This window comes from Homo sapiens, chromosome 15 (genome assembly GCF_000001405.40).
Source record: "Homo sapiens chromosome 15, GRCh38.p14 Primary Assembly".
NCBI classification, from domain to species: Eukaryota; Metazoa; Chordata; class Mammalia; order Primates; family Hominidae; genus Homo; species Homo sapiens.
In genome coordinates, this window is record NC_000015.10 from 70632306 (window position 1) to 70653037 (window position 20732).

At 42.9% G+C, this 20732-nt stretch overlaps 2 long non-coding RNA genes across 2 annotated transcripts, besides 2 other annotated features; one reads left to right on the forward strand and one right to left on the reverse strand.

Annotated features, from left to right (window-relative positions):
- Window positions 849-1387: an enhancer, noted in NCBI's record as "OCT4-NANOG hESC enhancer chr15:70925493-70926031 (GRCh37/hg19 assembly coordinates)". NCBI's record gives its function as "activates a minimal SCP1, AML or CMV promoter by ChIP-STARR-seq in primed H9 embryonic stem cells {active_cell/tissue: H9 hESC(primed)}" and the evidence as "EXISTENCE:reporter gene assay evidence [ECO:0000049][PMID:30033119]".
- On the reverse strand, window positions 2444-20670 carry LOC107984791 (uncharacterized). The gene is made up of 3 exons (XR_001751595.2): window positions 18228-20670; window positions 13191-13267; window positions 2444-12528 (listed from the first exon to the last, which is right to left on the reverse strand). It is a non-coding gene; the product is annotated as an uncharacterized LOC107984791 (long non-coding RNA).
- SALRNA2 (senescence associated long non-coding RNA 2) lies at window positions 2944-5009 on the forward strand. The gene has a single exon (NR_126482.1). It is a non-coding gene; the product is annotated as a senescence associated long non-coding RNA 2 (long non-coding RNA).
- Window positions 3333-3477: a silencer, noted in NCBI's record as "fragment chr15:70927977-70928121 (GRCh37/hg19 assembly coordinates)". NCBI's record gives its function as "represses an EF-1alpha promoter that drives an FKBP-Casp9 reporter gene in an ReSE screen in K562 erythroleukemia cells {active_cell/tissue: K562}" and the evidence as "EXISTENCE:reporter gene assay evidence [ECO:0000049][PMID:32094911]".

Consider the following 20732-nt stretch of genomic DNA (forward strand, 5'->3'; position numbering starts at 1 on the left):
ACACACACAGCAAGCAGTAACTTGCACACACACAGCGGTAACTTGCGTGATACACACACAGCAGTAACTTGCACACACGCAGCAGTAACTTGCATGATAACACACACAGCAGTAATTTGCATGATACACACACAGCAGTAACTTGCATGACATACACACACAGCAGTAACTTGCATGACATACACACACAGCAGTAACTTGCATGATACACACACAGCAGTAACTCACATGATAACACACGCAGCAGTAACTCGCATGATACACACACACAGCAATAACTTGCATGACACACACACAGCAGTAACTCACATGATACACACCCAGCAGTAACTTGCATGACACACACAGCAGTAACTCACATGATAACACACACGGCAGTAACTTGCATGACACACACAGCAGTAACTTGCATGACACACACACAGCAGTAACTCGCATGATAACACATGCTGTATGCACTTCATTTCCTTCTTGTCTCTCGTCTCCACTCCTTCAACCATTTCCTTTCTTAAAAAACTATTTGCACTTACATCCTTCTCTCAGGTTTTATGTCTGGTGGGACTCAAACTAAGACAATGCAATAGCTACAAAAGTAAATTCTAGGAACCTGGAGACATAGTAGTACAGTGAATAATTGGATAGGCTTTATAGTCAAACCATCTATGCTTGCATACACCACTAGTGTGTAAATATTTAATATTCAAACAATTGTTGTATATAAACTTTAGGAAGTAGATTTCAAGAAAGGCAGAACTGGAAACTCTAGAAAAAGGAAGATGACTCAAGAAGGAGAGGGGACTTGTTAAAAGTCTGAGAATAGACAAATAATTCATTCGTCAGAGGTAACCACAGAAATACAGTGACTTCCCAGGACAGGTGTTTAAAGGACAAAGGGCAGAGGGAGTAGTCATGAGCCAGACAGAGAACAAAGGCCCCCTGCCCCAGCCTGCAAGATGCTGGGGAGACCAAGCCCCAGAATGCGCTGCAGCTTGCAGATATCCCAAGGACAATAGAAAGAGCTTTGTTAAAGTATGCCCCAAACAAAACAGAGAGGGAGAAAGGGACACACTGGCGCTTGGAGCGGAGTGTGCTGTTCACGGGTGATGGAGAAAAAACTGAACTATTCAACTCCCGTCTTACTCCTGTCTTTCCCATCAAAGCAAACGATTTAAAACATAAAAGGTGAAGACAAACAGAGTTAAGAGGAAATCAGCAGTCAGCTAAAATCCCAGCAGGCTCTCTGGCTTCGCAAGTTTCCTAGACTGGTAGACAGACATGCGGGTGAGCCAAGGAGGCTGGGCTTGGGCTCAGACGCTGACAAGCTCTCTTGGTCAGCGGGGCAAGTGATAACCAGAAGTGGGCTGCAGGCTCTGGCCTCAGCCCCAGTGTGTTTTCCAAGAAACTGAATGAAGATACTAAACACAGGGCTTATCACAGAGATGCCTCCAAACCAGCGGGTCTCAACAAGGGTGATTTTGCCTCCCCAACAAGGGAAACTTTGGCAATGTCTAGAGACCAATTTTGGTAATTGCAACAAGGCTATGGTGGGGGTGCTACTGCTATCTAGAGAGTAGAGCCCAGGGATGTGGCTGAACTTCCTGCAAGGCACAGGGCAGGTCCCATGACAAAAAATTATCTGACCCAAGATGTCAGTAGTGCCAAGATTGAGAAGCCCTACTCTGAGAAACCCCCCTCAAGAGATGGCTGTTGAGTGAATTAATGAGACGTTGAGCATCCACTATGTGTCCTGAGAAAGCACAGATGACTAAGACACATTCTCTCCGCTCACGAGCTCATACTTTCTTCCAAGAAACAGATACAAGTGGCTGTGTTACAGTATACAACATGCTTTAATGGAAACGCTATGGGAGCAGAGACCAAAGAACCACTGATCCCACTAAGCAAGGCATGATTTGAGCTGGGTCCTGATAAACAAATGGAAGTTTGGCAGAAACACAAAGTGGGGATGAAGGGCGGATGGAGGCATTAAATGTGCCTGGTGTGTTGGGGACACCTCCTCTTAAGGAGAAGCAGCTGGAGGGGGGCTGGGGAGGCGCTGGATGCTGCGGTAAGGCCTTGGCTCTGTCTCACAGGCACAGGGTTCAAGAAGGTTAAGCAGAGGGTAACACAGTCAGATCTATTTCTTTAAAATAAGAATATATTAGGGCCCGGTGTGGTGGCTCACGCCTGTAATCCCAGCACTTTGAGAGGCCGAGGTGGGCGGATCACGAGGTCAGGAGTTCGAGACCAGCCTGACCAACATTGTGAAACCCTGTCTCTACTAAAAATAACAACAACAACACAAATTAGCTGGGCATGGTGGTGGGCACCTGTAATCCCAGCTACTCAGGAGGCTGAAGCAGGAGAATCACTTGAACCTAGGAGGCAGAGGTTGCAGTGAGCTGAGATCGTGCCACTGCACTCCAGCCTTGGTGACAGAGCGAGACTCTGTCTCAAAAAAAAAAGAATATATTTATTATCTCTGGTTTAAAAAAAAAAAAACTTCCCTCCAACAAATAATTAGCATAACAATCACCTTTGTAAATCCGCCATGATGACCTCACACCAAAACACAGTGGAATATGCTGGAACCTTGGAGAGCACGCCAAAACACTACTCTGTCCACCCTCACGCACCCCTCCCTTGCCCTGTGCATGTGCCAGATGTTTTGTGTACAATTTAATAATTTTTACTAAATTCGTGGAGTTGTACCACCATCGCCATCATCCAGTTTTAGAACATTTCTGTCACCCCAAAGAGTCCCCATGTGCATTTGCACTCAATCCCTATTCCTACCCCCAGCCCCTGGCAACCACGAAGCTGCTTTCTGTCTCCATCGATTCACCACTTCTTGACATTTCCTATAAATGGAATCATACAATATGTGGTCTTTGGCCTCTGGCCTCTCTCACTTAGCATGACGTTTTTGAGGTTCGTTGTGTGGTAGCATGAATCAGTGGTGTGTTCCTTTTTATTGCTGAATGATATGTCAGTCAGATGTCTATTTAAAAGACTATGCTGGTTATAGAATGAAAGATGGGGTAGGAGGAGGAAGAAAGTAGAGGCCAAGAGACCAGTTAGGAGACACTGGTTGTTGTTCAGGCCGAGACAAAGAAGGTGTGAGTTGGTAGAGAGGCTGTGGGCATGAAGAGAGAGGACTGGGTGGGAGGTTACAGGTCTGGGAGCAATTAGTGTACAATAGGACCATTGGGGAGGCTTGACCAGAGGCCAGGAGCTACATAGGGAAAGTGAGAAGCCCAGGAGAGGTCTGAATTCCCACAGGGCTAAGAAACAGGACCTGAGCTGATTGCACCTCTGGGCAGATTCATACCTGGCTGAAGGAACAGAGTGCTCTAAGGACCCACCAGCCCTGCGGACCCTCCTGGTGGTCTGCTGCCAGGCTGGCTCCTTGGGCTATTGGGATGAAGATAATGAGAACATGTTTGTCAACTGTGCAGGTGACACAAATCTGGAAAGAACAGCAAATTTGGGATAACAATGTTCAAAAACATCTTGGCGGGCTCCAGTGATGGGCTGTGGCAAAATCTGGGCAGCTCCACGGGGGTGAGACCTAGTGGATTATGAGTCTTCTGGTTACCTGTCTGTCTTCCTAGGATGCTGTGAGCTTTGTGAGAACAAGAACAGTGTCTGCAGGACACAAGGAGTGTCATCTGAAAAGGACCCCAACAACTTGCTCTGGGTCTCAGCTCTGGGGGTTTCCCCAATAAAACCTGATCCCTAACCCATACTGTATGATGTGCAGAAATTTATCCCAAGCCCTGGTAACTCAACAGGTGGTCATCACAATAGTGACATCTTCTTCTTCGTATCCATTTATCAAACCAACTGTCATGCCAGCCCATGGACAACAGAAGGCACAGACCCCTTGGATGATGGGCACCTTCACTAAACAGAGTCAGCTCAGATTTCCAAATACAAGTATTAAGCAGGGGCCCCATTACTGCACTCTGTTTACGGTGTCCTCATTCTTGGAAACTGGAAATTCTGATAACATTTACTGCACTGTCTAATGATATAACTAGCATATGCTCTCTGAGGCAGATCTGGAAAATATAAGCAAGATTAACTTTTTGATTAATCTCTCTCTCAATACAGAATACATGCTCAGCATATTCATTCATTCATCCATACACATAGGTACACAGACACACACACACACAAACACATACACACCACAGATTCTTTCTACATATTTGGGATCAACAGTTTGGCTTTTAGTTTCAAATTAAAAACATTTTTCTGTCCTTAAGACTCTTTGAAAACAGTCTGTGCACTCAGGGCATCACACCCCACCCTATGCAGGTTCCATGACTGATGTGCCCATTCCCCTCTCATTGCCGTGTAGGTGGTTTTGGATTTGGGGATTGGCTTTGGTAAGCCTAAGTCTGCAACCAGTACATCGGCTGTGTCTCTCACGTGAGCCCATGAGTCCTTCCCCCTTTAAGCAACCTTCTCTCAGAACCTGCAATCCTTCCTCTTCTGGTCCCCTTGCTCCTGGGTGTGTGTGTAACTTCCCTCTGTTCCTCACCTCAAGGGCAAGTTATGCCCTAGCCCCCTGCTTCCCCCTGGCCAGCTAGCTTCTGTGACTTCACATCTTCACAGTCCTGCGAGACCACAAAAAAGATCCTTCCTGGCTCTCTCCTGCCATCTCCTGCCCACTCACATCTCTAGCTCCCTGGCTGAAGCAGTACAGTGCTCGAATGAATTAGAAAAGCAGGACAAACCTAAATCCATGTGAAAACATGCAATAGGTTTCATTGTAAAGTCCCATGGTTGCTTTGTTCTCAGCTATCTGCATATGACATTATGACAAGCCTGATTTAGCATCTGGAAAGAGACCTAGAGGCATAATTGGTTAATAAGCTAAAGAAGAATCAATAGTGGAATGTGGCTGTCAAAAGAGAAAGTTAGGCTGGGCGCGGTGGCTCACACCTGTAATCACAGCACTTTGGAAGGCGGGTGGATCTCGAGGTCAAGAGATCGAGACCATCCTGGCCAATATGGTGAAACCCCATCTCTACTAAAAATACAAAAATTAGCTGGGTGTGGTGGCGGGCACCTGTAGTCCCAGCTACTTGGGAGGCTGAGCCAGGAGAATCGCTTGAACCTGGGAGACAGAGGTTACAGTGAACCGAGATCATGCCACTGCACTCCAGCCTGGCGACAGAGCGAGACTCCATCTCAAAAAAAAAAAAAAAAAAAAAAAGAAAAGAAAATTAATGCCATGCCACTCACAGCCACCTTCGTGTACCATGTTCGGGCTCAGGACCAATAGGGAAGGCACAGGAAGGCAGATTTCTGGTCAAAATTAAGAAAAGGCTTTGTAAAAGGGGTTGACTGATGAAACGGACTGGCAGTGAGTTGCCCACCACTGGCGATGTACATGAAAATATGGTATTCATTATGCACCAAGATTTTCTTGCTTCCCACATAAATGTATGACCCACACTTCTTAAGAAGTGACTACAGAAAGAGAATACCTAAACAGTCTATGGGAAATGTGAGCTCTGGCTTCTGTGTGAACCTCGGAAGACTGCAGTGAGGTGTGTGGTTGCTCCCTGAGGCGGGTCTTGAACAGGCCCCCAAGGAGTGCTTTCACCAGCGCTTGGGACTTGACAGAGGGAGGCAGCATTTGATCTCATTAACTAGGACAATCACAGGTGGGGGCACAGCGTCCTCCACTCTTCCTGAGCCCTGGGCTAGGAGAGGCCAAGGCCCTATCCCCAACCCTCACGTGGCCCATGATGTTTTGCTGCAGCCCCTGCACTGTCTGTGCCCAGATGAGCCCCAGCAACTCCAGCAGATACTCACTTATCACTCATTCAACACACGTTTCCATCCTCTGGCCTGTTGCGGAGAATGGTTTGCAAGGGTGGTACACTCCTAGGTATACCTAAGAAAATGGTTCCATTTACCTTGGGGAGAGGCATCAAGAAAGCAAAGTCTTACTGGGTCAAGGCAGCGGACGTGTGAGAGGGTGTGTCTGCCAGAGAAAACAGCAAGTGCAAAGGTGCGGGAAGTGGAGGGCCTTGGGACAGGGCTTGGGGAGGAAAGCATACAATGTGGCCAGTAGCTTGGCTGGTTGGGGCTGAATGGGGGTGAAACGTGAAGCTGGGGAGGCAGATGGGGTTCAGAAAAAGAACAGCCATGCTAAGAAATGGGTTTTAATCTCCAGGCCGTGGGGAGCCGCTGAAGGAATGTAAAGAAGGTAATGATGGAAGCAGATTTTCATTTTCAAAAGACAATCTGGTAACACTTCACAGTGAAGTGGAGAATGGATTGAAGCAAAAGAGGCTAGACACAGGATGGCCAACTGAGGGGAGACTGTAGACATTCACATGAAAAGTGCCCGGTACCTTCACTAAAGCAGTGTGGTTTGGGAGGAGAAAGAGGGAAGGCTTCTATCTAGAAATATTGCAGCATGGTTACAAGTGGGTATACAGAGCAGGATGGATTCGGGTGGACTCCCATGCTTTCTGACTTAGGCAACTTCATAGATGGTAAAGTTATTTCCCGAGGCAGGGCAGTGATGATTTCAGATGTTGTCTTGTTGCCCTTGCTTATGGGAATATATGTCTTGATTTGGATTAGAAACCAATAATGTCCATGCAACATATATGATATTTCTCAAGAGTGTTGGATGCCACGTATCTGAGCCATTTCCTTGGTTTAAAAATTTCCTGCATGGTAAGGCCAGACAGGAAGCTTGCTTTACCTGGATTCCTTGCATGTGGTTGTCCTGGGTTCAGCCAATCAGCTACTCCTGTCCTGGACTTTAAAAAAGGACATGGCGACATGAAGAAGCAAGAGCCATGAGACTCTCTAGCAGGGGCAGGGGCTGCATCATCATGGAGTTTTGGGCCTCAGGGCTGCCACATTAGCAGTGTCCTCCTGCATCAAGTCACAGTGGTGCCAACAGTAGCTGCAGTCTTCTCACTCAACCAGGCCTGTGGCATCATTCAAGTAGCCCCTGAGCCTAGTACTCCAGCCCTTCTGGTAAATCTGTAAGCTCCCATGCAATCTTTCAAAAACTATTTTTTCTCCCTAAATTAGCCAGAATTGGTTTCTGTTACTTGTAATTAAGAACCTTCAATGTTACAGACATTGAAACCAGGAGTAGTTGTAGGCAACAGATCCTGAGGGAAGTGGGGAAATTGTGGCAGGGTTTGAGGAGGTGAAGGCTGTGAAACTCTAATATTAAGCAATGGGATTCTGGCAGTCCATGCATACAGAGAAGAAACAGTAGATTAAATTATCACCACTTTATACTTAGAATGAAGTACTGATTGAAGACAAGGCTGTAGGGTACTGTGATAGGCAGGATTATGGCCCCCAAAGATCTCACACCTTAAACTCTGGGACTGGGAATACGATGCGGTATCATTCCCATAAATATGTTACCTTGCATGGTGAAAGAGACTCTGCAGGTGTAATAAAGTTTGCTAATCAGCCAACCATAAAATAGAGAGATTATCCTGGATTATCTAGGTGGGCCCAGTATAATCAGATGAGCCCTTAAAGCAGAAGAACAGGGCAAACCAGAGACGTTGGATGCCCAGGAAGGGTTTGATGTGTCATTGCTGGCTTGAAGACAGAGGGGCCACGTGTCAAGGAAGGGGACCCCAGTCCTACGACCATGAGGAACTGAATTCTGGCAACAACTGAATGAATTTGGGAGTGGATTCTTCCCCCAAAGCCTCCAAAAAGAAACACAGCCCTGCCGACTCCTTGGTTTCAATGTTGTGAGAGCCTGAGCAGTGGACTCAGTCACATTGTACCATACCCCTTACCTACAGAACTATGAGATGATAAGTGAGTGTTGTTTTAAGCCACTGAGCCTATGGTGATTTGTTATGCAGACATAGAAAACAAATACAGGTACTAGGGAGGGGTCATTGTCAGAGAAGAGATGAAAAGCCTGAAGAATTCAAGGACTGTGGGGTGGGTGGTTCCTTCTAAGGGCAATGACCAGGTGAAAGAAAGGACAAAAGTTCTGATTCCTGAGTTCTTGGTCTAATGGGCTCCACTTGCCAGTAGCAGTGAACAACCTAAGATATCACACAGCACCTCGTGGAGAAGCTGGTGTTTTTCTATCCTGAAACACACTTGGGCTTGCTTTCACACAGCACCTCGTGGAGAAGCTGGTTTTTTTTCTATCCTGAAACACACTTGGGCTTGCTTTCACACAGCACCTCGTGGAGAAGGTGGTGTTTTGCTATCCTGAAACACACTTGGGCTTGCTTTCACACAGCACCTCGTGGAGAAGGTGGTGTTTTGCTATCCTGAAACACACTTGGGCTTGCTTTCCACTCCCATTGTGCTGCTGCAGCACAGGCGTCTGCGGACTCACCTCACACAGGCTTGGTATCAAAAACAACATTGCTTTTAAGAAATCTATTTTTCTGCAAAATAAAAAAAAATGGTTGGTGGTCTTCATTCATTAGTTTTACCATGTACCACATACCCGTAGGCAGCTGGCCTTACAGAAGGATGCATTAACATATTGCAGACTCAAGTGATACCATCAATGGAGAGACAACAGCTTTTGAGGTTAGGGTGCTGATTTCCAGGGTACAATGTACGCCTTGAACCAGGAGCCAGTACATGGGGCCTAGAACCAAGGGGTGGATGTGGAAATGTTGCTTGTCACTGTCACACCTAATGATCCATTCACAATGTTTTTGCTTCCTATCCCTACAACTCAGGGCTGTTTGGGTTTAAAGGTATTAGTCTTGAAAAAAGAATGCTTCCAACAACAGACACAATGGTTTCAAAAACATGGCCATTTCAAAAACATGATCATTTTAGCTCCCCATAGTACTGTGGTTGTAACAAAACTACTACATCATGCAGGCAGAGAAGGGTGAAGATGGAACCTAGGAGTCTCCTGGGACTTCTCCCAGTACTTTGATGTTCAGTAGTAAAAATGAATGGAAACTCTAGCCAGTGGCACTGAATTTTAGTGTTTGCTAATTTCCTTGATGTAAAAACCCCCACCATAGCCAATTTCAATCTATCAACATGACATTACTGAACACGCAGTTGGGATAAGATGCACGGCAGCAAAGCATTATATAGTATTTCTACTATACATATAAAGACATACATCATCTCAAAAGGAAGGATATATGCTAGCAAAATAATTAGAGTGATGAGTGCGGGGGTATTTATTACATTTGTTTTTAATAAACTGTATTTAATTGTAGGCTTATATAATTTAATTTTTGTTTTGTTTTGTTTTTTTGGAGATGGAGTCTCGTTCTGTCGCCCAGGCTGGCGTGCAGTGGCACAATCTCGGCTCACTGCAACCTCCGCCTCCCAGGTTCAAGCAATTCTCTGCCTCAGCCTCCCAAGCAGCTGGGATGACAGGCACCTGCCACCATGTCCGGCTAATTTTTTTTGTATTTTTAGTAGAGACAGAGTTTCACCATCTTGGCCAGGCTGGTCTTGAACTCCTGACCTCATGATCCACCCACCTCAGCCTCCCAAAGTGCTGGGATTACAGGCATGAGCCATTGCACCCAGCCTATAATTTAATTTTTAATAATGGCTGTTTTTAACAAATGCTCATAACATTGTTGAAAATTTACTAATCCACTCTCACAAGCTGGTACAAGATAGATCCAGCACACCACTGACAAAGCTATTCTATAGAGAAGTCACTGAGGTCCTAGATCCCTTACAAATGAAGGTTGGGTCACCTTTCCTAGTTAAATAATCCAGTTGGTTGAGATTCTAGCTAAAGACAAAGTGGATCCTAAATATTGAGGAGGAGAAAAATCACCAACACCAATTCTGGCCTTGGGTTCAGTTGCAAAAACTAAGGCTACCCACATTTTTTTTTCCTTCCATATATCTATTGATGAGTTTTAATTAATTTCCTTTGTCTTCCCTTTCATTATCCCTCACTCTTGGGAAAGGTGACTTTACAATTTAGTCTGTAAATCAGATCACAGATTTTTGAGAGAGAATGTGACATACGTTGAGGAGAGCTAGACAGCCCCAGAGACCCTGAATGTGGACTTAAAGCTGGTCACAGTTCTTTCTTTTTTTTTTTTTTCTCGGAGACGGAGTTTCGCTATTGTTGCCCAGGCTGGAGTGCAATGGCGCAATCTAGGCTGACTGCAACCTCCGCCTCCCAGGTTCAAGCTTTTTTCCTGCCTCAGTCTCCCAAGTAGCTGGGATTACAGGCATGTGCCACCATGCCCAGCTAATTTTTGTATTTTTAGTAGAGACGGGGTTTCACCATGTTGGCCAGGCTGTTCTTGAACTCCTGACCTCAGGTGATCCTCCCACCTTGGCCTCCCAAAGTGCTGGGATTACAGGCGTGAGCCACGACACCCGGCCAGAGCTGGTCACAGTTCTTATGAGATGTTGGATTGCCTCCCTTCAGGGGAATGGATGAATTTGGTTTTTATGATATGATGGGTAGGAGGGAGGGATTTTTGTTTTGTCATATTTTGGTTTTGAAGTATAAATGTAGAAAGAAGAAATATTGTTGATAAGGTAAAATTTCTAAATAACGCACCATCTCATACTGCAAACTTGAATATAACACAACTAGTGATTGCCGCTGTCCTCTGCCCAACCCCTGTTTAAATGCAGGCAGGCTAAATTTCTTATCCTCTGCAGCAGGACTGAGAAATATGGAGGAAGGATGAAGCCAAGTAGGAAATAGCAGACACCAGGCAGCCCTTGTTTGGGAAGGATGAGAGATGGAGATTATGCTCCTACATCCTTGGTATTCTCCCCGGATCAGGGCAATGAAATGGGAACCAATCAAGTGGGAGAGTTTTAGAAGCACTGTAACTGTTCTGGAATCCATTCCGACTGCAGAATCCAGAATCATTTTCTTGATATTTAAGCTAGGGGTTGACAGCTGCCCCAAATGGTACCAGATGGCACCCGGGACCAGGACACAATTAAATCCTGCAGTAGGACTCTCAGAACTCTCGTCCAGCTAGCTGTGCTGTCTCACTCAGTTATTTCACAATAATACAACCCCTCCTTCTATAAGCTTTGATTCGTTTTGGAACTTACTATGGCATTAGAGCAGGGTTTATGGTATCAGCTACCAAAGGGAAGGGCTTTCATAGATATTTGTGTTTTGTTTTTAATTTTTGGCTTCCCAAAGCTTGAGCCCACTTGTGTAATTAGGAAATTCCCACCTTATGAATCTTAGTATTCCCACCTTATGAGTCTTATGAAGCTGTGCTGATAATGCCCAGAACCCACTTCTCCAGCCTCCTTTGCAATTAGTGTATAAGCCACATGGCCGAGGAATAGCCTGGATGGCAAACCCGCCCTGAATCTGGCATTCAGTGGTAACAATGGCATCTCCACCGAGCCCTTCTGACGGTTTGGCTGGATAGCCTGCATACAGTCTTTCCATCTTTTGAGTGATTCCTGAGTTACCTAATATTTTTCCAATAATTACTTTTCTTCTTAAATCAGACGACTATTTTTGTAATTAAAACCCTTAGTTCATGCTACACAAATATATTCTAAGGGGAAGTAGCAGAGTCCCATTTCAACTTTTGGACCAATGACCCAGGAAGTAAGCCAGGCCACTTGGAAAAACTATGGAATTCTTTTTGAATGAGTCTGCTTGTAATGTCACTCTGCTACTTCCTTGGTGAGCTATTTGAACTCTCTGCCTTTAACCTCCCCTTTGTTCATAGGGCTCGTCCTCCAGTCACTACTGTAGAGGCAGGAGGGGAGCTCTTATATCCATAGCTGCTTGATTCCCCCTGTATTTTGTCTTTCTGTTAATGCACATAAGCACATCATAGACTACATAACAGCAGTGTGAGGAGTTCAATACATGCATGTAGACATACATCTCAACCAAACTTAGTGTCAGAAAAAGCAACTTCAAAATTCCTAATTCAGTGAAAACAAGAAGAACATGGTTGGTCCAAATGCCACGACAAGCTCAACAATCACACCAGGAATAGAACCTCATAAAACTCTTGTGCTAAGAAGCAGTTTTGTGATAATCAAAGCATCTCTCTTTTCACTCAGGTCTAGGTACTGAGGTTAAGTTAGTTATACAAGGTCACACCAATAATTAGGAGTATACCTAGGAGCCAAACTCAAGTCTTGTTTACATTTGTACATTTCACAAAACTTTATAAATTCTCCATCATTAAATATGTCCTGGATTATCTAATCTACACACACACTGTCCAGTAAGAAGAAATTTCTGCAGAAAGTCTCAACTTCCAGTGAGCCCACTAATCTCTAAAAGACATGTCTTACTTGATTTAATGTTAATTTCTCCCCACAATGCATTCTCTTCCTCTTCCACGCAGTTCTATTTTGATGGATCCTGATAAGCCTTGTACCTAGGAAATTCTTCCAGGCTAGTTTTTCCACTACAGGCGCTGGCGTTTCCCACTGACCATCATCATAGCCGGTGCATAATGAGCCCACCAAGCTCTTGAATATGTCCAGAGCCAAATGCAGAAGAGAAAGGACTGACCTGGGCCACTGTTCAGTGTTTTACTGTAACACAAAACAATAGAAAGTGCTCTTTTATTCACTCAAGTCCTAAAGGTGCTGTACTCTGGATTAAAGAGGTAGCTTGGGGCAAACAGAAACCCCAAAAGACTCATGTTTTTCTTTGGCCTTAGGAAGCTCAGACCTGACTTTGTAGGCCAAGTTTGGTTATGGTATGAGGACTTTACACTTAGCTTTATCTTAATCCTCAATTGCCTAACATAATTACTTTTGTCTTATACATATTTCTGTAAGTCATTGTTTATTTTTCTGAAGAACAAGGTAAATTACTTTCACCATTTTTTTTTTATTTTGAAATAGTCACCAAAAGTTTTCAAGATATTACAGAGAAGTTTAGTGTGCCCTTTACCCAGTTTCACTAAATGGTTACATTTTACATAAATAATCAAAATCAAGAAATTGACACTGGTGCAATATGTATATGTGTAGTTCTAGGTCATGTTCTCACATATGTAGATTCCTGTAACCCTGGAGGCACCCTGTAATCAAGATACACAACTATTCCATCCCCACAAAGATCTTTCCTGCTATCTCTTCATATCGTACCCACTCCCTTCACCCCCCGTGTATTAGTCCATTCTCAGACCACTATAAAGAAATACCCAGGACTGGGTAATTTTTAAAGGAAAGAGGGCTAATTGACTTACAGTTCTGCATGGCTGGGGAAGCCTCAGGAAACTTATAATCATGGCGGAAGGAAAAGCAGGCGTGTCTTACGTGGCAGCTGGTAAGAGAGAGAGTGTGTAAGAGCAAGGAAAACTGCTTTATAAAACCATCAGATCTCATGAGAACTCACTCACTATCATGAGAACAGCATGGAGAAACTGCCCCCATAATTCAATCACTTCCCTCCCTCCACACATGAGGATTACAATTCAAGATGAGATTTGGGTGGGGACACAGACCCAGACTACATCACCTGGCACCCACCAATCTGTTCTCCATTGCCATAATTTTGTCATTTTGAGAATGCATATAAATCAGTTCATGTAGTATGTGAAGGTAAATATATTTTTGAAGTACATTTATTTTTTCACTCATCTTTTTTTCTCTAGATCATTTTCATTTACCATTTTATTAACATATCCACTTATTCAAGCAGAAGACTTGGCTGGGAAAGCCACCACTGGAGAGATTCAAAATGTTCTAAGACCACTCTTACTTCACTGTAGCATATAATTTGGTTTAGTAACTTACACGTAAAAATTTTATAGATGATAGGACAGATAACTATATCTTTATTCTCTGTGGCAGATTCGATAATGGCTTCCCAAAGATGTTATCCATGCCTTAATCCCTAGAACTTGTGAATGTCACCCTGTATGGCAAAAAAGGACTTTGCAAGTGGGATTAAATTAAGAGTTTTGAGATGGAGTGATTATCCTGGATTATCCAAGTGGACCCTCCTAAATGCAAGCACGTATTCATATAAGAGGGAGACAGAGTGGAATGTGACTACAGACAAGAGAGGAGAAGGCAATGAGATAGTGTGACCATGGAGACAGAGGTTGGAGTGACACATGCACAAGCCAAGGAATGCCAGATGCTACCAGAAGCTGAGAGGCAAGGAATGGGTCTTCCCCAGAGCCTCTAGAGGAAGTGCAACCCTGCTGACACTTTGACCTAGTGAAACTGATTCCTGACTTTTGGCCTCCAGAAGTGTGAGATACTACATTTCTTTCATTTTAGGCCACTAAATTTATGGTAATTTGTTTAAAGTGCTCATAGGAAATGAATATACTCCCCAACAACTAAGATGGTGCCTTTCTGATATATTGCAAGTGCTCAAGAAATGTTTCATGAACTTCATTGAGTTCAGAATGAAAGAAAAAGGTTTGTAAAAGGGAATTTCTGAAAGGCTTAATGGAAGGAGGATTTGGGTTGTCCCTTGAAGAATTAGGTAAATTACAATAGGAAGAAATGGAGCAAGAGATTATTTCAAGTGGTGTGAATAAGATGGGCAAAGCAAGGAGGCAGGAGAGCCCAGTACTATGAGGGCAATGATGCTGGGATATTGTCCCAGCTTGGCTGGAATAAAAAAGGTCCTCGCTGGGAATCAGTGGGGGAAGCACCACAGTACAAATGGCTAGCTACTTCATTGATCAGTGCATGTATGGGTTTTCACTGGCTTTCCTCCAGTGCAAGTAATCCTGCCAATATGGGAGACTCTCAAATGATTCTTCTAAGACCCGAGCATAAGCAGCGGTGTTCTGTAGTGTGCTGTAGAAATCCCACTTCAGTGGGTCCACTTGGCTCCCCTGCCAGGAAGCCATTTGGAGCCCAGTAGGATAGAAAGAATGTGTTTGCTCCTCTGGGAGATGGCTCTGTCAATTACTGACCAACTGTTATCATTGTCTTAGTTACCATTCTGTAATAGTTCTAATGCACAAATTTCATTCATTAGCTTGGTGTGGATGTGGTAATCTATGTAGCAAATGGATGGGCTTGTCATCTGTCTCCAAAAACTCCAACACTCACTTCACTCCCAGCATCCAAGAAGAAAAACACGGTCAACTCTATTTAACCCAGTATCCTGTTTGGGCTCCGTTCATGAGCCCATCAGCACATCCATTGCATAATGATAATCAGTGTTGTGATGTTGTTGATGATCCTGAGATACTATAAGGTCTTGACAGTCCTTGTGAATTCTCAAAGTACATTTCTTCAACACAGTTTCTTATTTAACAGAATTCTGTGTTTTAACCAGAACATTTTATTCTCTGCCCACACGGCAATCTCCAACTGGCAGGCTTCCCAAATTCATGCCTATTTATCCAAGATTGCCTTTTGTTTTCTCAAGAGCAATTGCAGAAATATTTGGAACTTGTGAGAGTATGGATTTTGGAATAGAGGTAAAAGATAGGTAGACTAATGGAACAGAATGAAGAGTCAAAAAATAGCCCCAGATATATATAGGAATTTGATATGTGCTCCAGGTGGCATCACAAGTCAGTGGAGAAGACAGAGAGCACTGAATTAAAAAAAAAAAAAGATAACTGAATTCAACAAACTGTATAGCAATTTGGAGAATAATTAAACTGAATCTATCCCTCACACAATAGCATAAAACAAACTCCAAGTGGATTATGTGTTTAAATATAAACAATATCATACAAGCACTAGATAAAATATGTTGGGAAAGAATGTTTAAGGTGTAACACTAATGTCAGAAACCATAGACTGATAAATTTAACTGTATACAAATTTCAAATTTCTGAATGAGAGAAAAACAGTTAAATGACAAGTGAAAAAAATCAGGGGAAAAATTGCAGTCTATATGACAAAGAGTTAACATTGTTTTACAGGTAATTCTTAAATTAGCTACAAAGGTTAAAAGCCATCATTCTTCCTCTCTTGCCCACATAGTCCAATTCAATTAAGCACTCTTAAGCCCAGACTCTTAAAACAAGGATTGGAAGCCTATTTATTTGATGCCCTGGACAAAGATGGAAGTGGCCCCAAAATTCTGCTCCATTATTATTTTTTGAGACAGAGTCTCGCTCTGTCGCCCAGGCTGGAGTGCAGTGGCGCAACCTCAGCTCACTGCAACCTCCACTCCCAGGTTCAAGCGATTCTCCTGCCTCAGCCTCTCAAGTAGCTGGGATTACAGGTGTGTGCCACCATACTTGGCTAATTTTTGTATTTTTAGTACAGACAAGGTTTCACCATGTTGGCCAGGCTGGTCTCGAACTCCTGACCTCAGGTGATCCACCCACCTTGGCATCCCAAAGTGCTGGGATTACAGGCATGAGCCACCACGCCCAGCCAATGCCCCATTATTCTTCCTCAGAAAACTCTTCCTTGGAATAGATGCATCCAACATATTGGAAAAGATAACATCAAAGCACAAACAGTGATTATCTGTAGGCTTGGAGTGAATTATTTTTGCCTTTTTCCTATCTGTATTTTCTGAAATTTTCTAAATTGACTATGCTTTGGAAATTAGAAGGAAAATTTATCAGCCCAGGTTCTTAATTATAAGCAATAGAAATCAATCTGGCTGTTTTAAGCAGGCAGGGATTTATTTAAAATGTACTGGCTATCTATAGAGAAGGTAGAAAATCAGGCTTAGGCCTGAGCAGACAGAAACAAGTTTCCAAATTATACTCCAAAGCCTATCGGTGAGAAAACAGCTGTTCCACCAAGCATGAGATGTTCATCTTTTGACCACCTCCATCTCTGCACTAGGAACCTGATCGTGCAGTAACCCCAACTGTCGTTGCTGCCAGAAAGACGAATATCACCCTTGCCTCTTACCGTTGCTTAGTCCCCTAGTCAAAGTTGAGGGCACATTTGGCAGAAAGTGCTGGCCTGGGTCATGTGCCTGCACCCCAATACCACCTCTGTCAGGGAAAAGCAATCGTTTGGCATTTTCAGCCTCTATAGTGAGCAGATGTCTCCACATCTTATCAAGACTCATAAGGCAGAGAATTCCCAAGAGGTAGAAAGGTGGTTCGTATGCTGCGTGGTCAAGAGAACAGTAAACGTCCACTACACACTACACTTTTAGAAAAAGATGTTTATAAAAATACAGAGAAATGGAGCACTCTAAGGAAAGCAGTAACAGTTCAGGGAGAACTGTGAAGGGGTTGAGCATAATTCAGGTAGAGATGATGCCTCTACTTGTTGAAAATCATCTTCCTCTCCCCCTAAAATATGAATCATTTCCCTTCATTTTATTGTTTTTCCTAAGATTATCTGCCAATTAATACATTATTGGGGGTTAAACATGCTTTTCAAAAATAGTGTACAGTGGGTTATCAATAACTTACAGCCAGTGTGAATTAATTTAGTCACACTGATTTTTAATTCCTGCCTCAAAGCTATACCAATTCCTATCTTTGAAGGAAGTGAGCGAGAGGAAAGAAAACAAGAGCACATGCACTTAGGGCCTAGGTAAGAGGGTACAAAAATGGGGGACTTACGGTATGGTGAGCATGTTAATGAAAAAATTATTCAGTGACATTTGTGAAAGCACATTAAGAAGGTTTTATTCAGGACCATCGTGTTAGGATAGGGACCACTGCAACAGAGTTTGCAAAAGTGGAGAGAGACTGGGATTGACTCTGAATATAGCATGGGCAAGTGGACATTTATAGCCAAGGAGCATGGTTGGAGGGGTGGTCACTGGATGGGAAATTTCTACAAGACAACATCAGGAGTAAGGCTAAACTAACCCACAGGATTCTTACTGAAGACAGATGGGGTGATCAGACATCACCTGTGGAAGGTGGAGTATGAGGAATCGGATCAGATGTCAAGAGTGATCAGCTATCAAGGGTGAGGGCTCTTGCTAAACTGACTTGGTAGGGTTCTTTGCTAAAACTGGGTTGTACAAGGAAGTGCACAGATGGGCCTAGGAGAAGGTTGAATAGCTTGACTAAAGTTTGGCCAGGCAAAGAATTTTTGTCATGTGCATAGAAGGCCAGAAGGGAGTGACACAGAAAATGAAAAATAAATAAAAGGCAGGCAAAAAACCAACCAACCAACCAAAAACAACAGATACAGATATCTACTTAAGAAATTTGTTTGAAACATCTGTGACCCAAGAATAAGGCAAGAAAAAAAAAAAAACACGGATTTTTCCTTATGGACTCAAAATGTGGACTATTACCCTGGGTCAGTCATCTCATGGACTACAAATTATTCCAAAATAAAAATGTTACTAAAAATAGCTTTCTTACCATTAAGTCCGATGGAAGCACTTTAGGAAATGTGCCATTTTTATCCCACGGCATGTGCCCTGAGGCACTGCGTACTCCAGCTTGAGATGTATACCAATTGATGTGCTGGCCCCATGGAGAACACCACGCCAATTTCAGAACCAGGAATAACTGTGTTCTGCCTGACACCGTGCCTCACATATGTGATGTTTTCATCATTACATTGGCCACTAGGAAGTTGAGAGTCAAACTGAGGTCAGCCCCAGAAAAGCAGGATATTACAATGTTAAATGGCATATTTCCTGCATAACAAGCTGCTGCTTGTTTTTCCTATCCTTTTAGTATTTATCATCCCCATTCTCCTCTCCCATATTAAGAAAAAAAAAGTCAGCCATCTTAAAATCCTTTTTATAATGAGGAAGGGCAAAAATAATAAATATGCATATTGACATTTGCTTGGAAACCTAGAATATAAATTCAAGGCACTAGCTCCTTATTCTGGTTAGACATCAAATCACAATTAAATCTTCCTCAAATTCTCTGTTGTCCTGGTAACTGCTCTCTACTTAGAGAACATGGAGGGCGAGATTGCCCAAAAGGGTCTGGAAGGAGAGCAAGAGCTTATTAAGGAATTCTTTCTGATGTTCATAACCACACAACAAGCTGTGCCAGAACGACAGCGCGGAGCTGGAGAAAAGCCCTCCTTCAGGTTATCCCAATTGCTGTGATATATTTTAGGCTCTGCCGCCGTTAAATGCTATGGACATTATAATAATAAGATTGGCCATGGCACACCAAAAACATTGACAATAAATAGTATTTTGGATAATCAGATTGAAAATCCTCTTAAGACACATTTGACTCTAACAGCTATATTTAGACTTAGATGAACAGTGGCTGGGGGATTTTAAGTGTCAATTGGTGTGAATGAATAAAGATGGTTTTAAAGGAGCTATATTGCTTAGGGATTAAGGCCAACTGGAACAATTCACTTAAAAAAAAAGCCTCCACACTCAGTAGTGCAGCTCACATTTATCTGATTGAGGCAGATACACTTTAATCCTTAGGACTTGTATTGGTAGTCCTGGGATGGTTCGTCTCTCCATTTGTACAAAGCATAAATGAGATCTTGCAACTCCTGTAACTGAGACAATGTTTGCAGCAACAACAAAGAGGAAAAAAAATTTAAGTAGCAGTCATTTTTATTTTGGCTTAACAGATTTTCAGCAGGAAGACTCTGAATATGAATCGGCTTCATTTTTAAATCCTGAAGAAAATTTCTGAAGCAGCCCATAAGGTGCCACTTTAGTCAGAGGCAATTTAAAAAAGCCTAGAATAGCAAGAAAGAAAATCACCAAATTTGTTTGGACATTGTAGGGGGAAAAAGTTACAAATTATATTAACTCCATTCTCACATCCTCCCTGAGTCTATTTGCTTTTATACTCCTAGAACTCTTCCCCTTTTTGGAGGTAGGAATGGGGCAGGAGGCATGGTGTAAATAGTAAGAAAAACTTACATTAAGATATTGGTTACTTCCAACAATGGCATTGTGATAAGCACTTAATAAAGAGAATGGTGCAGACTTTCTTCCAATAGGCAAGTGATTCTTCTCAAGGGTCAAATTCCACTCTCTCATTGATAATTTGAGCATTGCTAGAAAAAGTAAACACTAGAATTCCTCTCTGGGTCTTTGTTTTCATGGTCCTTAAGGACCACTGAAGAAGGCATTTCCAAACTTAAATTCCTAACAATATATAGCAACCTTAAGAATCCTGGAAACTACTAGAAACACAGTTTCTCTAAGTGAAATATCAACAAAGGACATGTACCTACTTGGATTTCCTGCAGGTACCACTTTTAAAGTGGGATTCACCATATTCTTCTAGCCAGTAAGCAAGCTACTTAATGATGCATAAAACTAATTATTGTAAGACTGAATCTGTTTGGTAGCTGTTCACAATGTGGAAAATCACACTTTTTCATGGCCTATTTTCTTTTAAAATGTGTGCCCCTTTCCCATCCTTAATGGGTTCTGTATATGTAAAATAAATACTCTTCGCAGCAGGACCCTGGCTTCGAGGCCTTAAAACCCAATAGAGTCCTGTAGTTTAATGGTCCTTAAATGCTCAACATCTTTTTCACTTAATGCAAAATCCATCTGATCTAATAGCTGTGACTGAATTATAGATATATAATTTTTTTCTATTAAATGTTAATCTTCTGACTTGGCAGAGCAATAGACGCTCTAAATTATTAAGAAGGCAATAACCTCTCTAAACTCTTTCCAGAATTCAGAATATTCCCAGGACTGCTATCTCGAAAAAAACTGCGAACTTGCTTAAAATATAAGTCAGGCCGGGCGTGGTGACTGATGCCTGTAATCTCAGCACTCTGGGAGGCTGAGGTGGGTGGATCACCTGAGGTCAGGAGTACAAAACCAGCCTGACCAAGATAGTGAAACCCCCATCTCTACTAAAAATACAAAATTAGCCAGGCATGGTGGTGCATGCCTGTAATCCCAGCTA